General features: G+C 52.9%; 1 protein-coding gene across 7 annotated transcripts in view, besides 1 other annotated feature; it reads right to left on the reverse strand.

Annotated features, from left to right (window-relative positions):
* Positions 1 to 25,133, reverse strand: part of CA5A (carbonic anhydrase 5A) — a 54,981-nt gene that overhangs the window by 28,462 nt on the left and 1,386 nt on the right. For 6 of the 7 annotated variants that reach the window (NR_159799.1, NR_159798.1, NM_001367225.1 and 3 more), the window contains exon 2: positions 16,738 to 16,935. Coding sequence is in view for 5 of the 7 variants with exons in the window: in NM_001367225.1 (NP_001354154.1) it covers positions 16,738 to 16,935 (198 nt within the window). In the remaining 2 variants the exon portion in view is untranslated. Of the gene's footprint in view, positions 1 to 13,702; positions 14,327 to 16,737; positions 16,936 to 25,133 lie in introns of those variants that run through there. The other variant, XM_005256134.5, reaches the window with a different exon arrangement.
* Positions 14,593 to 14,832: an enhancer, noted in NCBI's record as "active region_11344". NCBI's record gives its function as "activates an Ori minimal core promoter by ATAC-STARR-seq in GM12878 lymphoblastoid cells {active_cell/tissue: GM12878}" and the evidence as "EXISTENCE:reporter gene assay evidence [ECO:0000049][PMID:35858748]".

The following is a 25,133-nucleotide window of genomic DNA, read 5'->3' on the forward strand; positions in this document are numbered from 1 at the left end:
ACTGCTGTTACGGTTAAGTCACATGGGAAATACGAAGTCCTTAGCACAACGCTTGACGTAAAGGAAGCACTCTAAAACAAACAAACAAACAAAAAACAACGAACTGGAAGCCACTGAAGCCTTCATGGGGTGAAACAGCTGATTAAGGGGCAAAGGCTCTCACTGGCCAGGTTCTGCCGTGTCCCGGGCACCACGCATCCTGTCCATGAGCTCACGTCGTTGTCGTGATGGAGAAGGCTTGGTGTGTACCAGAGTGCAGCGGAGGAGCTGGCGTTCGCTGGGCACCTGCTACCTGCTGGGCATTGCGAGGTAACTTTATGTTCCTCCCAGGATGAACTCCTCACAATGGCCCTACAGAGCAGGTCCTGTGAGTCCAACTTTGAGATGAGGAAATTGAGACGCAGAGAGGTTCGGTCACCTGCCCCAGTTTAGCCGGCAACCTCACCCAGGTCTGACGGTCCAGGCCCTCAGCTTTTGTAGTAGGGTTCAGGCCAAACTCTGCTACTTGCCTTGCCAGTAAAGTTAGGGACCCAATTTAAGGCTGCAGACCTGGATAAAATAATCTCAAAGTGACTTCTTTTTTTTTAGGTGGAGTCTCACTCTGTTACCCAGGCTGGAGCGCGGTGGGGTGCTCTCGGCTCACTTCAACCTCTGCCTCCCAGGTTCCAGTGATTCTCCTGCCTCAGCCTCCTGAGTTGCTGGGACTACAGACATGTGTTACCACACCCCACTAATTTTTGTTTTTGTTTTTGTTTCTTTGAGATGGAGCCTTGCTGTCACCTAGGCTGGAGTGCAATGGCCAGATCTTGGCTCACTGCAACCTCCACCTCCTGAGCTCAAGCGATTCTCTCACCTGTGCTTCCCGAGTAGCTGGGATTATAGGCACCCACCAGCATGCCCAGCTAATTTTTGTATTTTTAGTAGAGACGGGGTTTCACCATGTTGGCCAGGCTGGTCTTGAACTCTTGACCTCAAGGGATCTGCCGCCTCAGCCTCCCCAAGTGCTGGGATTACAAGCATGAGCCACTGTGCCCAGCCTAAAGTGACTTTTCATAATGACAATACAATGTCAGGGTATTCTCCTTAATCAAAAAAAAAAAAAAAAAAAAAGGCAAGCCCAATTCACGAAAAGGGGTCTTTAAGCTGCCAGCCCCCATCCCCCGGACTCTGCTATCAGCAGGGCTGGTCCACCGGGCAGCACTGGCCACTGTTGCCTCAGCGTTCTGTGTAAGCAGGTGCGTCAGAACCGGCTCATGGAGATATAATTGAACGATTGCCTCAGCGCGTGCCAGACTCTCCAAACATAATAACAGATGACGTTTGGGGCCGGCTCCAGGCTGTGACGTGCTGGCCCCAGAGAATATTGTCTCTGCTATTACAACAGATGCTGTTAATAGCCATCTATTTGTAGTTCGGGGCTTTTACCAAGATGAGCAGGCTTTTGGCAGGCACGGGTTGTTTGAAGGCTTAAAATTAGTACACGAGAAGTTTGAGATGTTCTAATTACTGGAAATTTCAAATAACATGATGCTGCAAAGGACCGGCCTGCTTCCGGTGCCACTCTGGGAGGTAGTGCACGTTCCCAAGCTGTAAAGGGTGACACGGCTGAGGGCTTCTGTGTGCCACCTCCCCAGGCAGGCAGGGGCCGCAGCCACTGCAAGCCCCTGCCCACAGAACTCCGCGACGATGGAACCTAGACTGCTCCCTGGAAGTTAGCCTCTGAGACCATCACATATTGGCACTGGTTTGAAAGCCAGGCAAATGTGGGCTCCAATCCTGGCTTCACACGGTGGGGCTTTGCAAGTTGTTTTATAGGTCTGTGGCCCAGACTAGACGTTTATAAAAGGATAATGATGCCTACTTCAGGGGCCCATGGCAAGGATTGAGTACGGTGATGCTTACAAAGTACCTCCCTCACAGTCCCTGGCACGCAGTGAGAGCTCAAATAATGGTAGCCACTTACTATTATTATGACTGGTGTTATTGTTATTATTAAAATTACTGTCATCGCCCAGGCACGGTGGCTCATACCTGTAATCCCAGCACTTTGGGAGGCTGAGGCGGGCAGATCACTTGAGGTCAGATGTCTGAGACCAGCCTGGGCAACATGGTGAAACCCCGTCTCTACTAAAAATACAAAAATTAGCTGGGCGTGGTGGCACGCGACTGTAGTGCCAGCTACTTGGGAGGCGGAGGTGAGAGAATCGCTTGAACCCGGGAGGTGCATGTTGCAGTGAGCCGAGGTCGTGTCACTGAACTCCAGCCTGGGCGACAGAGGGAGACTCCATCTCAATAAATAAATAAACAATAAAATAAACTAAAATTGCTATCCTCACTGCCATCACCATCATCTCACCACGGCAGAGATCCGCAGTCCCCTGAAGCAGATACCACGATTCTCAAGGTGAGACCTGCACGTAAAGACGTCGAAAGATAAATATGTCTTAAGAACACGTCCATAAGAAAGGGCTTTGCCAACCATGCAAGCATAAAAGAAGAAAAGTCCCTCATTCATCCGAAAACACCCACTGACTTTCTCCCACGTGCCGGGCACCACGCTCAGTACAAGGGACAGAGGGAGGAGGCTCTGGGCTCAGACTTGCCCTCGCAGAGCGTGGAATCCAGGAGGGGCAGACGGTGGTAGAGATAAAAAGCTGTGTGTCTGAGAGGTGAGAGTGTGGGCTTTGGGGCCCTAAACTTGCTTGGGACGCCCAGGAGGGCCCCCGTGGAAGCGGCGTTTCAGTGGAGCCCTGAAGATGGGTTTCTATTTGTCAGGTGAAGATAATGGCGGCTCCAGGCAGAAAGGGACGACCAGCGGAAAGGACCCTGGTGACAGCAGCCACCACAACGGAACAGGCGGAAGCACCAGCCGGCGAAGGCACTGTCAGGGGCAGCAGGAGATGGGATTACAGGGGCAACAGGGTCGGCGCCGGTGGTGGCTAAAGGAAGTGGGGCCTTCGCCAACAAACCGCAACATGGTTTTTTTTTTTTTGAGACAGAGTCTCGCTCTGTCACCCAGGCTGGATGCAGTGGTACAATCTTGGCTCACTGCAGCCTCCGCCTCCTAGGTTCAAGCAATTCTGCCTCAGCCTCCTGTAGCTGGGATTACAGGCAGGCACCACCACAACTGGCTAATTTTTGTATTATTACCAGAGACAGGGTTCCACCATGTTGGCCAGGCTGGTCTCAAACTCCTGACCTCAGGTGATCCACCTGCCTCGGCCTCCCAAAGTGCTGGGATTACAGGCGTGAGCCACCACACCTGGCCCATCAACAGGTTTTGAATGTTCCAGTCTTTTTTTTTTTTTTGAGTCAGGGGTCTCATTCTGTCACCCAGGCTGGAGTGCAATGGTGTGATCATGCCTCACTGCAGCCTCAACCTCCTGGGCGCAAGCCATCCTCCCCTCTCTGCCTCCTGAGTAGCTGGGACCACCATGCCCGGCTAATTTTTTTTACAAGACCACTGTTAAAAGCCCGGAAGAATCCTGCAGCTCACTGTGGTGGGCTGTTTTGCGTGTGCTAGAGTCTATTCAGCATTTCAGATGGAAAAGCCTCAGCATTCCTCTTCCGTGGGCCTCCACCGTAGCTCCTTTGAAATCTCTGCTCTTTCTTGCACCTTCCCATCTGAGTGTCTGTGCCGTGGCCCCCCCCTCCTCTCCAATACGAAGAGCCCACACTCAGCTTCCCTCCCTCCTCCTCCACCCCACACTGCCCGAGCACCTCACCTCCCAGTGACTGACTCGTCCCCGGTCTTGCACACACCTGGGGAGCGTAGCTGGCCCGTCCTGCACACCAGCCTTGCAGGCTCGCTGAGTAGACCATCCTTGTCTGCTCTTGCTGGGTGCAGCCGTGTGTAGTGGCCCAAGGGGGGTCATCTGGGAGGGCATAAGGAAGCTTAAGTGACGTCTACCACGAGGAAGCGTAAGTGATGTTCACCACAAGAGGCGTGGGGAGCGGCGGCAGCGCGTTCATCCACTGTGCTTGACGTCGCTTATTTCCCCGATGACCTTTTCCCGGACTTCCTAGCTGGATCTCCGTGAGTGCCAGGGCTGGGTCTGGGAAGGGTCTGGGACCCAGCACATCACCTGGCACAGTCAGTGTTTGCTCAATATTTGCTGAGAGAAAACTGCAGCCATGTCACCGATTTACAATAGGAACTTCTCGTATGGAGCAGAAATGTGTTGTTGCCTGTGGCTTTGCAGGAGCTCCGAGCAGTGGCGAGAGGAAGTCACGGGTGACCATGGTAGGCATTACCGCCTGATGGGGTTGCTGGCTGGTCCTGAGCTCATCACCGTCCATCTCCTGCATCCACAGTGATTTCTATTAAGTGCAGCTTTTCGTCAGGCAACCGCCAGCAGCACTGAGGGGTGGGATGATGGCATATTGACCAAAACACTCAGGGGGTGCTAGCCACGCGGCGGGTGCAGATGCGGACCCCCAGCCCCACGAGCTTGCAGTGCCGTTCAGCCCCGCTGCACCCCCGTCTGTCTCCAAGGCTGAGGAACTGGGGTGGGAGGAGGAGGAGGCACAGAGCCGTCTGAACACAGCTAGAGCCACTCACTGGCCCCTGCAGGGGAGCAACGCAGTGGGGAAGCCAGCAGGGAGGGAAGGGGCAGTTGCAGTGGGTGGGCATGGGGGCTCAGCTACTGGCACAGCAACACGAGGGAACCACGGAGAGCAGGAGGGAGGACGTGGGGGCGGGCGCAGGGCGGGAGCACCGGGCAGTCCACAAGGTGGTCAGGACCTCAGCTGGCGGCTGGGCTTGGGAGGGGCTGGCATGGAGTCACGGGCCACCGTCCCCTAAGTGTTTCCCTAGGCAAGGTTCTCATTCCCCTCGTCAGGGGAGGGGATGGGCACAGAGAAGTGCAGCCATGAGCCAGGAACAGAGCTGAGATGAAACCTCGGCCTCCCGTCTTCGGAACGAGAGTTAATCCACAGAGGAGCTAAGGAAAACGCCGGGCACCGAGTTGACGGGTGAGGGGTGTGAGCGATGGGGCCAGCATGGCCGCCGCACCACCAGCTCCATCCTGAGCGTTTCACGGACATGGCCCTCTTCATCCACACAACTGCCCCAGGAGCCACCGAATGAGGCTCGATGAAACCTCGACTCGCGTTGCAGCGCACGTCCGACCACACTCGCCTTTGATCGCATTTATCACTGGGGATCCAGAGGTCAGGGCTTTGTGTCTGCAGCGGTCCCTGGGAAACAATCTACAATTCGAAGCTCCACCAAACTCCCTCAGAGTCACGAAATTTCTATCACTGACTGCTTTCCTCCAAGGCCCAAACTGGATTTATAAACTTCCAAAGGAAACTTTATATTGAAAAAGCGATGTACCCACAGCATTGTAGAACGATGTTTACAAAGGAAAAACAAGGCCAGGCGTGGTGGAGTGAGCCTGTAGTCCCAGCTACTTGGGAGGCTAAGGTGAGAGGGTGGTTTGAGCTCAGGAGAAGCTTGCAGTGAGCCCAGATGCACTTCAGCTTGGGCAACAGTACCAGATCCTGTGTCAAAATTTTTTTTTTTTTTTTTTTTTTTTTTGTGGCTCACACCTGTAGATGCAACTACCCAGGAGGCTGAGGTGGGAGGATCAATTGAGCTCAGGAGGTCGAGGCTGCAGTGGGCTGTGATTGCACCACTGCACTGCAGCCTGGGCGACAGAGCAAGATCCTGTCTCCAAAAAAAAAAAAAAAAAAAAAAAAAGGAAAAACTATTGTTTATGCCATCACCACCCAGTAAACATAGTTACTGATATTTTTACTTGCAGTGTAACTTTCTGGCCCCTTCCCATAACCACATGTATTTGGTAAGCTTTTGTTTTCAAAATAAGCCAATAACATTTAATAAGAAACAACAGTGTATTAGTCTGTTTTCATGCTGCTGATAAAGCCATACCCGAGACTGGGTAATTTACAAAGAAAAAGAGGTTGAATGGACTCACAGTTCCACGTGGCTGGGGAGGCCTCGCAATCACGGCAGAAGGCGAAAGGCAGGTCTTGCATGGGGGCAGCCAAGAGACAGAATGAGAACCAAGCAAAAGGGGTTACTCGGGAGCCTGCGGCAGGAGAATGGCGTGAACCCGGGAGGTGGAGCTTGCAGTGAGCAGAGATCGCGCCACTGCACTCCAGCCTGGGTGACAGAGCAAGACTCCGTCTCAAAAAAAAAAAAAACAAAAAACCATCGGATTGGCTGAGTGCAGTGGCTCACGCCTATAATCCCAGCACTTTGGGAGGCTGAGGTGGGTGGATAGCTTGAGGTTGGGAGTTCGAGACCAGCCTGGCCCACATGGTGAAACCCCATTTTTACACTACACTACATTTTTAGTGTAGATCCCAAATATTTAGCATAAGTATGGTTTGTGTAATATTTAGGATGCTCGTATTTTAAAACGGTGATGCTGGAATGCTCCTCCCCACCGTCATGAAGCTGGCACTTTCTTACCAGCTGGGACTTGGGTCCAGTGGGGTCTTTTCTGACCATGTTGTGTAATGCTCACAACCTCCCTCAGTGGAGTCACCGCTGGCCTATCACCTGCTTTCATTTTCATCACAGCACTTATCACTATCCAAAACCATCTTCTTTCTTATGTACATATTCGTTTATTTTTCTGTAAACTTGTGTAGAGAAGTACCTATTTATTAATTAATGTTTACTAATTTTCTTATCCCACCAGAAGGCAAGCTCCATGGGAGCAGGGGTTTCACTGTCTTGATTGATCCTTCCTCCCTACAAAAGACCACACAGCACACAGGGGTCGCGGTGCACCTGGGAAGCGTCTGGGAAGCTGGACGATCAGAAATGGGCTTTTGGGCTGGGCATGGTGGCTCACGCCTGTAATCCCAGCACTTTGGGAGGCCGAGGCAGGAGGATCACGAGGTCAGGAGATCGAGGCCATCCTGGCTAACACAGTGAAACCCCGTCTTTACTAAAAATACAAACAAAAATTAGCCAGGCGTGGTGGTAGGCGCCTGTAGTCCCAGTTACTCGGGAGGCTGAGGCAGGAGAATGGTGTGAACCCGGGAGGCGGAGGTTGCAGTGAGCCAAGACAGCTCCACTGCACTCCAGCCTGGGTGACAGAGCGAGAGTCTGTCTCAAAAAAAAAAAAAAAAAGAAAAGAAAAGAAAGAAAAGAAAAAAGAAATGGGCTTCTGGATCCAAATGATAACAACAGTGGCTCCACTGCCTGACATTTTGTCCAACATGATCGCACCCCTGGTCACAGTTGATTGGACAGGGATGGGCACTCAAACCATGCTGGACCAATCAGAGCCTCTTCCTCAGTCCCGCTCCTAATTAGTGCAGGGCTGGGCCAATCAGAGTCACTGCTCTGGGAATTTAGAATTGGAAGTGAGCAAGAACAGGAACAGTGGCTCCCCAGTGGCTGAATCTCTAACAGGTAAACTTTGGAAGCTGTTTGGTACGTTTTCATTTTTCAGTCTTGAGGACCAGAAAGCAGAGAAAATATCTGTAGAGAGAGAGGGGACACTGACTTCTACCTAACTTCCCCAAAAATATTCACACCCAGGCCTGAGGGAAGAAACAGGAGCTACATACAGAATGGAGATGGAAACACACGTGTGCACACATGCACACACCACACATGTGCACACACAAACACACATGTGCGCACACACATGAACACACGTGCACATAGAGACACATGCACACAGTGCACAATGCACACCCGCACACGAACACACACATGAACACGTGCACACACACATGAACACACATGCACACATGTATACACAGTGCACATGTGCACACATGCACACATGTATACACAGTGCACATGTGCACACATGCACACGAACACACATGCACACACACGTGCACACACATGTAGTCGCTTTAGGAACTAGACTGCCAGTTTATGAACTTGTGATGATAAATCACTTTCCCAGGATATAAGCGTGATGCTCACATCGTTTCCTCTCAGTCCAGGGGTCGTCCTTGAACCGCACAGCCACAGTCCCAGTCCCGACACTGCCAGGATTCCCCTCCAAGGAATTCACTCTTCCCCTGTCTCTCATCTTGGAGCTGCCGATTTGTGCCCCACTAGAGGAGCCAAGAGGTCCCTAGAGCCTCCTCCTCTGATGCGGACAGCCTGGCAGGCACCCCCCAATTCCGGGCTCTCAGGCCTCGTTTGGATTTATTTTGAAGGAAGCTATTGTCTACTAAATGCTTAATTCTCCCAGAATGGTGCCAAGTGCTTCACACAGCCCTGCCCAATGAGCTGGGCCCTCCCGCACCTTTAGGGAATGAGCTGAGCTGTCTGTGGGGGGCACTCAAGGTGGGACAGGCACAGTGTGGCAGCGCGTGGATCTGGCTGCTGTTTTCCTTTGTGACTGGCACCTCTCCTCTCCCCCTTCCCTCCTCCCCCCGCTTTGCTCCCCCAGCCTTTCCTCCTTGGCCTTCAAGGCCATACACGCTCCCTGGAAAGAGCCCTTGCCGCCACCTCTGTTACTCATCGTCCTTGGCCCATGCTTGCTCCAAGTGCTGGCACCCCCAGCTCCTAGGAAAACTGCTGGCAGTGTCCACGCCGACGGAAATTTCCTTGGCCTGTCCGTTTGTTTCGCTTTGTTTCTGGCCCTGCCACGGCATGGCCCAGGCCTCGGGAGCCTGTCCGTGTGCAGTTCTCTGCACCTTGTCCGCTCCCTTCCCTTTCTCTTATGGGCACTGCCCCTCCTTCCATGCAGGGTTTGCTGTGTTTTCATCTCATTCTTCTCTGTTTCTCTCTGAAAACCTTTCTCTAGCCCTACCTGTCCTTCATCTGAGGTTCTCATTCCCTCCATCCCCAGCGGCTCCCGATTCCCAATCCAGGTGAACAAAGAGGACAGAAAATCTGTGAAGGAGAGGACCGAGAACCTGGAAAAATGGGCTGCAGAGACGGGGAGGGGACCGGGAGCACGTGAAGCTGAGTGGGAGAGAAATAAAAAGGAAACTGGGTTTTGGAGAAAATGACAAAGTGAAACCAGATTGGCCCGCGTGGACGGGAGCCAAAGGAGGGATGACCCAGCTCATTTCCATGGCCCGGGAGACACACCGGATCCTTCTTTCAGTCTGTGGCAGGGAGGGCCTAGATCCTTTAAGCAGATGTGAAGCCGGTGGGGAAGCCAAAAGTGGGGTCGGGACAAGGTCAGAGGCTGACGCTGGGAGACAGAGACAGCAGCAGTGGCCTTGGACCTGAGAGCAACCGAGTCAGGGAGGGGCCGAGGTCAGCTCGGGGTCCATGGCCAGGGTGCACGTCCAGTGAGGAGGGCGCCCCATCCTTACTCTGGGAACAGCGTCCTCGGCTGTCCTGCGGGAGTGCTGCCTCCCACTCTCCAAACACACCTTGCTCCAGGCGGGGTCACCCTCGGGCTGGCCAGACGAGCAGCCAAAGCCGGGCCCCTGAGAATCAGCCATGGGATGGTGGCTGGAACTGCCGGGAAAGAGGCGACATCGCTCCACTGGAAGCCAAGCCACAGCCTCGGGCGGCCACCTTCGCCCCATCAGGGAACCCCCGTGAGTGTCCCCTGGGGAAAGCAGAGTCTGGGGGAGCACTCACAGGAAAGCAGAGCCTGGGGGAGCACTCAGAGCCCTGGCAGTCGACGACCCCTGCACCCGGTTGCAGCCCGGACTCTTTAGGATCGGAGCCGGCAAATCTCCCTCTTTGCTTAAGCCACTTTGAGGTGGGGTTCTGCCAGGTAAACCAAAAAGAAGTCTTAAGACGGCTTACTGGAATTCCTCACTTGGAGAGCAGCAGTGAGATCCCAGGCTGCATGGACAAGAGAGAGGAAGGCAGGGGGCAGCGGCGGGTGGGAGATGGCTCATGCTGGCTCTGGAGCTGACTTTGCAAATCTCTTCCCAACTCCACTATCGGTGACTGCACCTTCAAAACTTGAACTCGGCCGTGCAGGAGTATTTGCACCATGGAAAGTGGCGAACACCACACATCACCGCTCTCGTCCCTCCACCCAGCCCCGGAAAGCCAGCTGCTAGGCCTGTACCAGCATTCCCCATCCATGGACTCAGGAGGGCCGGGCTTACCTGGGACCACTTCTGAAAGGTGCACCAGCCCCAGCTTCCCTGAGGACAAGGCTGAGTCACGAAGCATGGACGAGGCTGAGCTGCAGTCTGCACAGGTGGAGTTAAACAGGCCATAGCCAACTCACCCCTCACCCGAGGTCTGCACAGACCTCACCTGCAGCCAAATTACATTTGAGCACGCAGTAAAAGGATGGAAACTGATGATCCTCCTGCTCCCTCCCTTCCATTTCTTTGCTCTCAGTTTAGTCACTGTTTTTTGTTTGTTTGTTTGATTGTTTGTTTGTTTTTGAGACAATGTCTCGCTCTGTCGCCCAGGCTGGAGGGCAGTGGTGCAATCTCAGCTCACTGCAACCTCCGCCTCCTGGGTTCAAGCAATTCTGCCTCAGCCTCCTGAGTAGCTGGGATTACAGGCATGCACCACCACGCTCGGCTAATTTTTGTATTTTTAGTAGAGACGGGGTTTCACCATGTTGGCCAGGCTGGTCTGGAACTCCTGACCTCAGATGATCCACCTGCCTCTGCCTCCCAAAGCACTGGGATTACAGGCGTGAGCTACTGCGCCTGGCCAATTTAGTCACTTATTTTATTTTTTTGAAACTAAATCTCACTTTGTTGCCCAGGCTGGAGTGCAGTGGCGTGATCTCGACTCACTTACAACTTCCGCCTCCCAGGTTCAAGCAATTCTTCTGCCTCAGCCTCCCCAGTAGCTGGGATTACAGGTGCTTGCCACCATGCCCAGCTAATTTTTGTATTTTTACTTTTTTTTTTGAGACCAGGTTTCACTCTTGTCACCCAGGCTGGAGTGCAATGGCACGATCTCGGCTGACCGCAACCTCCACCTACCAGGTTCAAGCGATTTTCCTGCCTCAGCCTTCCAAGTAGTTGGGATTACAGGCATGCACCATCACGCCTGGCTACTTTTGTATTTTTTGTAGAGATGGGGTTTCTCCATGTTGGTCAGGCTGGTCTCGAACTCCTGACCTCAGGTGATCCGCCTGCCTTGGCCTCCCAAAGTGCTGGGATTACAGGCGTGAGCCACTGCACCCGGCCAATTTTTGTATTTTTTAGTAGAGATGGGCTTTCACCATATTGGCCAGTCTGGTCTCGAACTCCTGACCTCAAGCAATCCACCTGCCTCAGCCTCCCAAAGTGTTGGGATTACAGGCATGACCACCGCGCCTGGCCACTTTTATTTGTCTGCTTTTATCAGGACTCTTGGAAGCAAGTGATAGGAACTTAAACTGATTTTAAAAAGAGGCTTATTAGTACAGGGGTTGACTTGGCTTCAGGTACAGCTACATTCAGAGGCCCCGAAATTGGCTTGGGCCTTGATTTCTCCCCCTCTTGGCTTTGCCCTCCCGTGTGGGCACTTTTTCAGGAGGGCCCTCACCTGCTGCGGGGCACAGCTGGCCTTTGCACAGCCATGGAAATAATCTCTTTAAATACGTCCTAGAAAAAAACTCCTTGGCTCTCATTGGCCGGTCTTGAGTCACGTGCCCATGCCTGTACCAATTGCTGCAGCCAGTGACAGGGCTGTTCTGAGTGGCCACGCCCAGGTCCCCACCCACTCCTGTTTCTGGACCCCGTGAATGGGAGTCGGGGATGGGCTCGCTCCCAAGGAAAACAGGAATGTTGGACCCAGGAGGCAGGAGGATGGAAGCCCAGCCAGCAACACAGCAGATGCCCTTACAAAGCCACGGACTGGCGGGATCAGCGGCACCTGGGAGCCTGCTGGCATGAGATTCTTGGATCTGCCTTGCACCTGCCAAGTCAGAATGTCTAGAGGAAGCACAGGTTGTGTTCCTTTGTGTGTTATTGTTATTATTATTATTATTATTTTTGAGAGACAGGATCTCGCTGTGTTGCCCAGGCTGGAGTTAAGTGGCACAATCCCAGGTAACTGCAGCCTCAATCTCTTGGGCTTAAGCAAGCCTCCTGCCTCAGCCTCCCGAGTAGCTGGGACCACAGGCATGCACCACCACGTCCAGCTAATTCTTTTATTTTTATTTTTGTAGAGATGCATTCTCGTTACCCTCCCACCTTGGCCTATCACGGTGCTGGGGTTACAGGTGTGAGCCGCCGGGCCGACAGGAGTCTGTGCTCTAACACACTCTCCAGGGGATGTTGGTGCACACTGGTGTGTGAGAACTGTTTGTCAGCCCCCCATAAAATTAGCATTTTATTCACTGATGTGAATAATATCCTCGCTAGGACCAGGTGCGGTGGGGAAGGGGAGGTTCCAGGGAAAGTTGCGAGGCTGTTCCTGAGGAGGGTGTGCCACACAGACAGGCACGCAGGTTGAGATTCTTGACCAAAAGCAGGCTTTGACTTGTGATCCTGGGGGATAATTACCATCTGCAATTGTCTTGTTTTCCAGCCTAAAGCCTGAGCCTGGGTTCCCTTGGGGATACAGAAACATCTAGATTCCAAGGCACACATGCTGCCATGAGCTGAACAGAAAATGACAAGTGTGCCCTTAAAGCACTGCAGGGATGTCCCTGCTCCACCGCCAACAGGGTTGGGGCGTGGGTTTGTTCTTGCCCTGAGGGGTGAGGGACGGGCCTCCCGTGCCGACCTCAAGGCCCACTGGACACAGCCTCCGCTGGGCTTGAGCCAGAGGCCCGTCTGGGCCCTGGGCCAGCTGCCGGCTCTCCTGGGGACCGACTGTGACCTTGGCCTCACTCACCCAGGGTGCTGGTGCTTCCTTCTCTGCATGGAGGTCAGCTCCTGATGGCCTCCTGCTGGATTTTGTGAATGTTGGATGCAGATTCTTTCTCTAAACGGTGCCTGCTCCCCAGATTCCCTTCTTTGCAGAGCACGGAGTCCCATTGGGAGGCCTCTGTGGCCTCTGGCCGAGGAGTTCCCCAAGCCTTCTTTTTCACATCTGTAAAATGGGGACTGGTTTGTATCTCCCACGACTGTTGAAAGGAAGACTGCAGTGGTGCAAGTGAAGCCCTTGGTGAGGAGAAGTGAGTTGGTGAAGGGCTACAATCTGCAGTCGGAACGGAAGCCGGCTCCTTGTACTAGGTCACTCACCCTTGGCAGTCGCCCCTTCTCTGAGCCTTCATTTGTTCTTACGTAAAATGAGGGTCCCGCAATACTCTCTCTAGTGGCTTCTGTTTTGTGCCATGCTGCTATTCATAGATGGCAGCGCTTTTTTTCCCGCGATGGAGTCTCGCTCTGTCACCCAAGCTGGAGTGCAGTGGCTCGATCTCTGCTCACTGCAAACTCCACCTCCCAAATTCAAGCGATTCTCCTGCCTCAGTCCCCCGAGGAACTGGAACCACAGGTGTGCGCCACCAACCTGGCTAATTTTTGTATTTTTAGTACAGATGGGGTTTCACCATGTTGGCCAGGCTGAACTTGAACTTCTGACCTCAGGTGATCCACCCACCTCGGCTTCCCAAAGTGCTGGGATTATAAGCATGAGCCAGCTCGCCCAGCCTGGCAGTGCTTTTAAAGGGGGTCTGTCCACATACCTTCCTCCTTCTAGGAGTAGTATCAGGATTCCCCTGGGGCCCCCTGTTCCCCACTGCATGAGGTCTTGGTGAGGACATTAGCCGGGTGCCTGATGCTCCACCAGCTGAGGGCTGGGTGTCAGCTCAGGGTCAGCCACCAGACCCTTTGCCTTGGGAATTTATTTTGTAAAATAACAAACAAAAGTCCAAAATAACCTTCAAAGTTTATACTTTACGACTTAGAGGAAACAAATCAGTTATTAAAATATCAGTGAGACCCACAGCCACATCTAAAAATTATCCAGGAGGAATATGAATCCCATAGCAACTCATCTGTATCCATGACAACTATTGTTCTCAAAATTACTAATACATTCACACAAATATTAACCCAAACAATTAAAAGTTCAGGAACTATTTTTGGTTTTTCAATATTTTGAAGTGGCTGCATGAAGAATTTTTAAATAATATAACCACATTAAAACTGAAAAGCCAATCTGAGTTGCTTCTTGGGCATTTGAACTTGGAACAGACCAACAAGGGGAGAAAAACCATTGGCAACTGAATAAATGAATGCAAAAATCCCTGCTCCCTGGTCCCCGAAGCTGGCCTGGTTTGTGCCTCCCAAGATCTGGTTGTCCCACTTTCCCTCTTCTTCTCCGAGCTGGTCTTGTCCTTCCAAGAAGTTGCACTTTGCTTACGTTGGCTGGAGTTGGGGTTACTGCTGCTGGCACTCAGCAAGCCCCACACGGGAAGCATCCGCGGGGGTTGCAGTGGAGCCTGATGAAGCAACCGTGAATGGCACTGAGCATACAGGCAGCGTGGCTCCTTCTCACCTTCGAAAGGAGAGAGAGACACTGGAAGGACCAAGCCGTGGTGTTTGCGATGCACTGTGTAGGGCCTGGCACAGAGAAGAAGCTCTCACGCCCTGCCCCCAACAGCAGGTGCATTAGAGGCAGGAGCAGGCTCAGGCTGGGCCTCTACTCTCCATGGGGTGCCTCTCCCCGGGCTCCAGGAAGGCCTGCACATACGGCTCAGCGCACTCATCCGTGGGCACCGTGCCTGCTCACTGAGGTCCCCTGTGTTGAGAATTTCTAGGCATATGCAGATTTAAGTGGCTGAAATGCAAGCACCATGTCATGACGAAGCTGGGACGCAGCTGGGCAGACCTCCCCGTGACAGCAGGAGCTGGGGAAGCCCCGGTGAGCATGTTTAGTGTAAGGAAGGTGAATGCTGCCTCCGCATGCACAGCGAGAGGGCATGAAGGTGAGCGTGGGGGCAGCGTCCCGCTTGTTGGTCCCGCTTGGATAACGCAGAAGCGTGGAAGCAGGTCCGGGCATGCTGGCAGCCATGTGGGAGTTTCTGGGCAGATGTGGTGCTGAGTGCCGGCCTGGGGTGGCCTCGATTCTCTCCCTGCAGCCTTTGCAGTGGCCATCCCTTCTCTCCCCAATCACAGAGGAAGAAAAGGAGGCTCATTTATGCCTTCAACTCTGTTCATCCGTCAATTTGCTGAGTGCCTAGGAGGCCTGGCGCATAAAATATCAAATAAGACAAAGACCTGCCCCAGCGGAGTTACATCCTCATGGGAGCAACAGTGAGTGAGCAAGATCCCCAGGCACGTGGGACGCACCCGGGAGGAGGCAGATGGGATGCCTGCCGGAGAGGATGTGGAGCTGTGGCTGCGGCTGCTTTGGGGCCCCCAGGTTTGATGATTCCCCAGGAAGAGTCACTGGGTCCAGCACAGAGCCACCCTCAGAGCTAAGCTACATTCAGCAAAAGGACGCAGAGCGAGATCAGCCACGCGAAGAGGTGTCTGGGCTGTCCGGAGGGCCCCAGGCAGGAGCTTCTGGAGTCCTCACCAGGGAAGACGGACAGGACGGACTTAATTCTCCCCTAAACCAGCCGCAACACTGAACCAGTGTGACGTGTTCTGTACCAGAGGAGCTCACTAGCAACTCAGTGCCCAAGGGTTTATTGGGAGCTGTTCACATAGGCACCTGATACCCAGCACGTGGCCCAATTCCAGACTCGCAGCAGGAGGGAGAGCAGGCGTTCCGCATGAAAGCAGCTTACAGTGACACCAGCTGGTGCTGGGAAAACACCAGGTAGGACCTGGCAGCCAGTCCTGATAAAAATGCAAACATAATAGGCATAGAGAGAACCTTCCCATACCTCAGAGCATCTGCCTGGAACTTCCGAGAATCATGGTGAAGGTTTGAAGAGATGATCCGCAGAAGCCCTTGGCCAAGCGCTGGAACCCAGTAAGGGCTTGGTGGCTTTCAGGACCTCTCAAGTCACCTCCCAGCCCACCCCGTCCCTCCACCACCGTCTCCCACCTGCATCTCCCCGGACTGCCTCCTATTTAACCCCTGCTCCCCTCCAGCCGCCTGCTCAGTCTGTCCTCACAGCAGCTGTGGGATGCATTTAAAAGGTCAGCGAGGGCCGGGCGCGGTGGCTCACGCCTGTAACCCCAGCACTTTGGGAGGCCAAGGTGGGCAGATCACCTGATGTCAGGGGTTCGAGAGCAGCCTGGCCAACATGGCGACATCCCATTTCTGCTAAAAATACAAAAATTAGCTGGGCATGGTGGCAGACACCTGTAATCCCAGTTACTCAGGCTGAGGCAGGAGAATCACTTGAACCAGGAGACAGAGGTTGCAGTGAGCTGAGATTGCGCCATGGCACTCCATCCTGAATGACAGAGCAAGACTCTGTCTCAATATAAAATAAAATAAAATAAAATAAAATGTCGGCCAGGTCACTGCCTGCTGAAGCCTGCAGTGGTCTCATTTCCAGGCTCCCAATGCCCCTGCCCTGCTGTGGACCCAACTTCCTTGCAGGCCTCTGCCTAGATGATCAAGGCCAGCGTGGGCGTCCAGCCACCGCTGCCTTCTGAGTTCCTCTTCCGACGCGCAAAGTGTTCGCATTTCAATGAGCTTGTCTCTTCCTCCCACCCGCTGCAAGGCGAGCCCCACGGGAAGGGGATTTTCTTTGCTAGGTGCACCTGTGTGCATGCAGGTGCCGGCGGTATTCTCATCTGTAAAGTGAGCACCAGGCTCCTGTCCCCTCGAGAACCTTCACACCATCCCCCAGGTGTGTCCTCCCTCAAGCGAGTCTCTGTCCCTGCCCCAGCAGCACAAGGAAAGCAGCACCTTCCTGCTCTCCTCCCCCTTCTCCGCGAAGCTCTTGACCCTGCTGCCAGAACAACGGGAGAGGACAAAGCCCTCGAGCCCCAGCTGGCACTCACCTGATGCCTCGGTGGCATCGTCAAATTCCACCTGGAAGAGGTAGCCAGTGTTCCAGATGTACAGGCAGGATGCCGCTTCATAGGAGACCCTGAGTGGCTTCAGCTGGGGGTCATAGACGCTGTCCCTCCACTGGATGTTAATAGGAGACTGCCGGGTGCCCCCTGGCACGGAGACCGGGACCGTCCAGAGTGGGTGCACTGCAGGGAGAGAGACGGAGACCCTGAGTGAGGCATGAGCTTCATCCTGTGTCTTGGACGGACAGGGCAGAAACCCGGCCGCACGAGACCCCTCACGTCCTGGCTCATGGGAAACTGACCCACGGGAAACGGGCGCGTGGGGGCCCCTGCGCAGCGACGCACGCCCACAGGGTACTCGCCTGCTCCTCTCCTTTCTGCACCACTCGGGGACTTTCTTTCCCACCCGGAAGCAACTCCCTCTGGGCCCATGCCACCTGTGTTGATGGGTTTTTGACTTTTGTGTTGCCCTCGTCACAGAGTAGCCACAGGAAGTCTGGATAGACCTTGGGGAGGGCAGGTGGGTGGAGGAGGGCGCTGTGGGGAAGGCAGGCTGAGTGCAGTGGGGCTCTTGTCTCTCGGGAAGGGCTTGAAACTTCCCTTCCCACTCCCAGGTACCCCACCTAGTGGTCCTGTGGAAACTGGAGCTGCTTTGGAAGCCCAACTCTCCAAGCCCTCTGGCAAGGAGGAAATGAGACCCCAGTGTGGAGAAAATTAAGCAGAGTGGCAGCCCCTCTACCTACTTCCTCGAGGCTCATTTCAAACTGCTTTGATTGTCATTTTTAAAGTAAGAGCCATTAATCGAAAACAGTTCAGAGGTCAGGAACAGTGGCTCACGCCTGTAATCCCAGCATTTTCGGAAGCAAGGTGGGTGGATCACTTGAGGTCAGGAGTTTGAGACCAGCCTGACCAACATGGCAAAACCCCATCATTATTGAAAATATAAAAATCAGCTGGGTGTGGTGGCGGGCGCCTGTAATCCCAGGTACTCAGGAGGCTGAGGCAGGAGAATGGCGTGAACCCAGGAGGCAGAGGTGGTAGTGAGCCGAGATCGCGCCACTGCACTCCAGCCTGGGGGACAGAGACTCTGCCTCAAAAAAAAAAAAAAAAAAATGCAGAAAAGCTTATGAGTGAAGAAGCAGCTGTCCCATGATTGCACCCCCTGGTGTGTGTCTGCCCCACCTGTTCTCTGTGCAATAACCTCATGCTAAGAGAAAGCTGGATCTTTTATTTTTATTTTTCCTTAAGAGACAGGATCCTCGGGATATCCTGCTCTTGAAACCTTAGAGCACTTCCAAATACAGAGTCCCCTTGCTTGGGGATGTCACCCCAGAGGCCTGGCGTGTCCTGTGGCTCCTGTCCTCACCTTCACAGGCCTGAGCTAAACCAGTTCTTAAAAGGGATTAAATGGAATAGTGCGTTTTTGAGATCAGGTCTCACTGTGCCACCCAGGCTGGAGTGTAGTGGTGTCAATCACTGCAGCCTTGAACCCCTAGGCTGAATCGATCCTCCCACCTCAGCCTCCTGAGCAGCTGGGACTGCAGGTAAACACCACCATGCCTGGCTAACTTTTTCATTTTTTGTAGAGACGAGGTTTCACTATGTTGCCCAGGCTGGTCTCAAACTCCTGGCCTCAAGTGATTCTCCTGCCTGTCCCAAAGTGAGGCAGGCATCTCCCAAAGTGCTGAGATTAGAAGTGTGTACCACCACACCCGGCCAGGATTTTTTATTTTAATGAACAAGGATTTTACTGTGTATATTATCTTGTAAGTTGCCTTTTTTCATTTAACATTGTGAACTCATTTTGTGAAAAAAATATATATATACAATTCTTTTTAATGGTGGCACGTTTCCATTGTACAGTTACGACACAATTTTTAAAATCCATTATTTGGTGATGATATTTAGGTTATTTCCAACTTCTTGCAATTAAACAAAGCTGTGATGAAGTTGCTGTTCTTTCTCTGTATTCTCATCTGGATTATTTTCTTTTCTTTGTTTTTTTTTTTTTTTTTTTTTTTTTTGAGACGGAGTCTCACTCGGTCGCCCAGGCTGCAGTGCAGTGGTGCCATCTCGGCTCACTGCACCCTGTGCCTCCCAGGTTCAAGTGGTTCTACTGCCTCAGCCTCCTGAGTAGCTCTATTACAGGCACGCGCCGCCACACCTGGCTACTTTTTTGTATTTTTTTCATAGAGACGGGGTTTCACTGTGTTAGCCAGGATGGTCTCCATCTCCTGACCTTGTGATCCACCCGCCTCGGCCTCCCAAAGTGCTGGGATTACAGGCGTGAGCCACCGCGCCCAGCCTTGGATTATTTTCTTCTTACAAATTCCTAACCACAGAATCACTAGGTCAAAGGGTGCATCCAACAGAAGTCTAGAAAACAAGGATAAAGATGTATAGCCCTGGCTGGGCGCGGTGGCTCACGCCTATAATCCCAGTAGTTTGGGAGGCCAAGGTGGGTGGATCACCTGAGGTCAGGAGTTTGAGACCAGCCTGGCCAACATGGTAAAACCCTGTCTCTACTAATAATGCAAAAATTAGCCAGGCGTGGTGGCTCATGCCTGTAATCCCAGCTACCGGGGAGGCTGAGGCAGGAGAATGGCTTGAATCTGGGAGGCGGAGATTGCAGTGAGCAGAGATGGCACCACTGCATTCCAGCCTAGATGACAAGAGCAAATTCGGTCTCAAAAAAAAAAAAAAAAAAAGATATATAGTCCTGTCAGAAATGCGTCTCCACCTAGGTCAAATGGTTAGCGCATTGCTGTGTTTTGTTCTTTAATCAACTTGAAAAAATTTTTAGCTGTTATTTAATAAGTAAACCATCAGGCCAGGTGCAGTTGCTCACGCCTATAATCCCAGCACTTTGGGAGGCCGAGGTGGGCGGATCACGAGGTCAGGAGATCGAGACCATCCTGGCTAACACCGTGAAACCCGGTCTCTACTAAAAATACAAAAAATTAGCCGGGCGTGGTGGCGGGCGCCTGTAGTCCCAGCTACTCGGGAGGCTGAGGCAGCAGAATGGCGTGAGCCCGGGAGGCGGAGCTTGCAGTGAGCCGAGATCGCGCCACCGCACTCCAGCCTGGGCAATACAGCGAGACTCCGTCTCAAAAAAAAAAAAAAAAAAAAAAAAATAAGTAAACCATCAGAAGTCAGTAGAATGTACAATACATTTTTAAGTTAAAGATTGCAAAATCGCAGAATGTTTGTTCTAAAATCGCATCTTTTCTACTCGTCAGTGTTAAAAAGCCCTATGGGAGATAAAGGTGATGATAGATAGTAGGATGGTTGTGTGCCTGTTTATTTTAATTTTCTCTCTTGGTTTTTCTCTCCCCCATCAACGTGCATGGTAACATCTGCTAGGGGTCTGCTGTCTGTCTCATAACCAGAATCTCAGCAGGGGGTTGGTCATTTTTCTGGCCCGTGCATTCCCGTGCTCCGACAGCATCTGGCACTATGAATGTTTGTTGAATGAATAATCCCTAGTGTGGATTAACTGCCCCTGCCCCTTACAGGTGGGAAAGCAGAGGGCCGGGGGCTGGAGTCACTTTTCCAAGACATCCAGCAAGCTCGCTGCAGTCTGAACTGAGATCCTGGCCTCTGGGAGTCTCTGCTAGAGCTTCTGGCTGCTCCAGGCTGGTGTCCAGGTCTCCAGAGTGTTCCTCTGTTCTTTGTAGACCAGTGGCAAGGACCTCCCCCCTCCGGACCCTTCCCCAGTGGAACCTGAGGCCTGAATCCCATCAACATCAGACCCAGGCGCCTGGCTTCCCTATTAAAGTGGACGTGTTGTGAGGGCAGAGGATGCTGACGAGTAAAGCTGCTGTGGGCAACGGGCCCTCCCTGTCAGGCTGGGTGGGGAGGAGAGAGCGGTGGGGACTGCGGCGTGGGGACAGCACAGGGTGGTTCTGAGAGGGGCTGCTGCTACCCCACTGGGCAGGAGAGGGAGCCCTCTGCTGCCAGATCTTTGGATCTATTTTTTTTTTTTTTTTCTTTTTTGAGACAGAGTCTCCTTCTGTGGCCCAGGCTGGAGTGCAGTGACGCGATCTCAGCTCACTGCAAGCTCCAACTCCCTGGTTCAGGCGATTCTCCTGCCTCAGCCTCCCAAGTAGCTGGGGTTACAGGCATGTGCCACCACGCCTGGGGAATTTTTGTATTTTTAGTAGAGACGGGGTTTCACCGTGTTGGCTAGGATGGTCTCGATCTCCTGACCTTGTGATCTGCCTGCCTCGGCCTCCCAAAGTGCTGGGATTATAGGCGTGAGCCACTGCGCCCAGCCTGGATTTTTAAAGAGAAGATAGAAATACAGATGTTCAGGTAGGGTGTCCCAACGTTCAGGTGTTGTCAAGTAATTTTTTTTTTTTTTTTTTGAGATTGAGTCTCACTCTGTTGCCAGGGCTGGAGTGCAGTGGCGTAATCTCAGTTCACTGCAACCTCCGCCTCCCGGGTTCAAGTGATTCTCCTGCCTCAGTCTCCCGAGTAGCTGGGATTACAGGTGCCTACCACCACGCCCGGCTACTTTTTGTATTTTTAGTAGAGACGGGGTTTCACCATGTTGGCCAGGCTGTTCTCGAACTCCTGACTTCGGGTGATCCACCTGCCTCGGCCTCCCAAAGTGCTGGGATTACAGGCATAAACCACTGTGCCTGACCTTGCCAAGTAATTTTTTAAGTTTTACACATTGTGCAGTGGGGAAGACACATCTGTGGGCCAAAACCCTGGCGGCTCTCCCCACTCACTCTCCGAGTTACCTGGCATATTATTTACCACCTTCTCCCAGTCTCAGTTTCTATATCTGCAGGAAGGAGAATAAGGGAGTAGAATCACAGCAGCTTTGCTGAGAAGATAAGCTCGCTGGCGCTGGGGAAGGCCTGGAGTGCCTTCCCACGCATGATAGACGGGGAGGATGCATTTCCCTGCCCCTGCCTTACAGCCCAGCACAACCCTGCGGTCACACACAGAACTCGCTAAGTGCCGGAAAGCAGTGACTAAGCCGGCGCTGGGAAACAGTGGGCCCTGCGGCATCCTGCAGATGCGTTCTGTTCTCTCTCACGCGATAGACAACTATGGACGCGGGAGCCGGCGGCCACAACAGGGGCCTCTGTCTGTGTGTCCTTTGTCCCAGCATCTGCTTTAATTCAGAACGACACCAGCAGCCCTGAACTTCCATTGACTGTTCTCTCCAAAGAGCCTCTCTGAGGCTGGGCGTGGTCGTGCCTGCCTGTAATCCCAGCTACTCAACTACTTGGGAGGCTGAGGCAGGAGAATCACTTGAACTCAGGAGGTGGAGGTTGCAGTGAGCTGAGATTGCGCTATTGCACGCCAGCCTGAGCAACAAGAGGCAGACTCCGTCTAAGAAAAAAAAAAGCCCCTTTGAGGCCTCACAAATCTCCCTTGCATCCAACGGGAAGCAGGATTGAGTGCACTCTACCCCCCCTCCCACGGCCGCTGCCTCCAGTCCTACCTGCCGGGCAAGGGGCATTTAACATGGCTACACAGACCTGAATGTAGACAGAACCCTAAAGCCACTGATGCCACAGAGGAGGTGCTCATCTAGACCAGAGACGCAGGCTTCCCTGGCTCACAGAGACACAGGTTGTGGGAAGAGCGGGTAATTTTAGGTTCTGTTTGCTGAGCTGCACCAACGGGCCCACCAACAATGAAACACCCGCATTGAACTCAGCGTGTGTCACCCAACAAAAGGGCTCATTGCCACCTGCACGGAGGCGACGCCACCTGGATGCTGAATAGGCTTCCAATCTCCACACAGCCGACCCTGGTGCCCAGCAACGTAGGTTCTGTGCTAATTCCAGTAGGGCTCCAATGGGAGGCAATACAAATGTTATCCTCTTTTTCAATCAGTCAACAAATATTTACAGAGCTGCTCCTATGGGTCAAGCCCTGGCCCAGGTGCAGGGGACATGGAATCAAAGACGCCAAGTCCCCTGCCCCAGGAGGCCAGTATTTGCCCCTAATTCACACGGGCGCAGTCTGGAAGGAGACCCCATCTCCCCGATGCATTCTCAGTCTCCAGGTTTGATGGTGGTTCAGCAAATCTCAAATTCCTTCCCCCTTGACCTCCATGGGAGGAGCTATCCCCTCCCCCATTGTCACTAGGCTTGGCCACCTGGTGACCTGCTTTGACCACTGGGACATTAGCAGACATGACGTGAGCAGTAGCTTGGAATACATGGGCACCGCTGGCCTCGCCCTGTGAGTGCCTGCCCTCCGCCGTGAGAAGAACAGGCCTCAGGTGGCTGCGAAGGGAGGATGAGAGATGCAGTGAGCAGGCCTGCACCCACCCAGAGTGGGGAGCCCAGCCCAACCACGGTCAGCCCGGGGGGAGCCAAATGCAAGAAGACTCACACACACCTGAGCAGGAAATAGCCAGTAAAATGTCCAAAAATGTGCAGCAGTGTGCTGGTTGAGGTTTAATAAGCCGTTCTCCCAGGAATTTAGAATCTTTGATTTCTAGGGTTTGCCAATGACTGTGGTGTAAATACTTTCACCATGGCCAATTTTAAGTTACCAACGTAACGTTGCTGATCACACACTTAGGAACAGATGGGCACTGCCAGTGCACACCCTGAAACATGACTAGAAAACATTAAATGATCCCTAAAATTATTTTTTCTTAGACAGGGTCCTGCTGTGTAGCCCAGGCTGGAGTGCAGTGGCCTGATCAGGGCTCACTGCAGCCTGAAATTCCTGGGGTCAGTGATCCTCCTGCCTCAGCCTCCCAAGTAGCTGGGATGATAGGTGTGTGCCACCATGTCCAGTTAATTTTTTAATTTTTTTTTTTTTTTAGAGATGGGTTCTTGCTATGTTGCCCAGGCTGATCTTGAACTCCTGTGCTTGAGCTGTCCTCCCACATCAGCCTCCCAAAACAGTGCTGGGATTACAGGTGTGAGCCCCCATGCCTGGTTCTAAAATTATCACTGAGCGTTTTGTAACTCTTTGACTTTTCTCTCAAGGCCAAACCACCAGTGATTTTTCAATAATTTTTAGTAACAATATTCTTTTTCCAAGTGAAATAATCTTCAGAATGCCCATAAATAAAACACCGACATAGAAGGATGAATTCCTTATGATGTTCCAATCTTCTCTGCTTGGCAGAATATTCTGCTCTTTGTGGAACTCTGAAATGATTTGGCAGAGCCCTCTGTTCACTGGGAACAGGTTGAGGACCATGGTGTAAATGGATTTAGGTGCCGATACAGAATATGACTCTCTCTAGCACACGATGTAAGAGGACATGTTGCCACAGTAAGAAATGGAATGCTACCTGCTGCCCACTGACAGGGAAATGCTTAAATAGACACAGGGCACCCACCGCTGCCTGTGTTAGCAACAGCAGCAGCTGGCGTCTAGCAAGGGCTTCCTGGAGCCATGTGCTGTCCCCAGCCTTTGCAGGCCCCACCTCGGACCCTTCTCCCAACGACACTGTGCCGTAAGCACCATTATCAACCCCCTGTTACAGACGACAAAACCAAGGCTGGGGGAAGTTAAGAAAGTCACAGAGGGGACAGCTGGGCGTGGTGGCTCACGCCTGCAATCCCAGCACTTTGGGAGGCTGAGGCGGGCAGATCACCTGAGGCTGGGAGTTCAAGACCACCCTGAGCAACATGGAGAATCCCTGTATCTACTAAAAATACAAAATTAGCCGGATGTGGTGGCGCATGCCTGTAATTCCAGCTACTCGGGAGGCTGAGGCAGGAGAATTGCTTGAACCTGGGAGGTGGGGGTTGCGGTGAGCTGGAGATCGCACCACTGCGCTCCAGCCTGGGCAACAAGACAGAAATTAGTCTCAAAAAATAAAGGAAAGTCACAGAGGGGCAACAGCCATAGAGCAGTGGGGCCAAGATTCCAATCTAGGCAGGCTAGCGCTCTTGACGGTCGTACTAAGAATAAAAAAGGGGGGTGGGTGCAGTGGCTCACGCCTGTAATCCCAGCACTTTAGGAGGCCGAGGCAGGTAGACCACCTGAGGTCGGGAGTTTGAGACCAGCCTGGCCAACATGGCGAAATCCTATCTCTACTAAAAATACAGAAATTAGTTGGGCGTGGTGGCACACGCCTGTAGTCCCAGCTACTTGGGAGGCTGAGTCAAGAGGATCGCTTGAACCCAGGAGGCAGAGGCTGCAGTGAGCCGAGATCGCACCACTGCACTCCAGTCCACAGGTGTGGACCCCAACAGGAGGAATGAGTGTAGCTCACTCAGAGTCTGGGGTGGGCCAGGCTTTCTACACGCATCGTGTCATCCTTCCATGGCCCTGGAGAGAAAGTCTGGCCACCCCCATCTCGAGATAAGGACACAGAGGCTTGGGGGTGAAGACCTGCCGAGGCTCCACCTCAGCAAGCGTCAGTCGGACTGCATGCCTGGGGT

Source organism: Homo sapiens, chromosome 16 (assembly GCF_000001405.40).
Source record: "Homo sapiens chromosome 16, GRCh38.p14 Primary Assembly".
In the NCBI taxonomy this organism is placed as follows: Eukaryota; Metazoa; Chordata; class Mammalia; order Primates; family Hominidae; genus Homo; species Homo sapiens.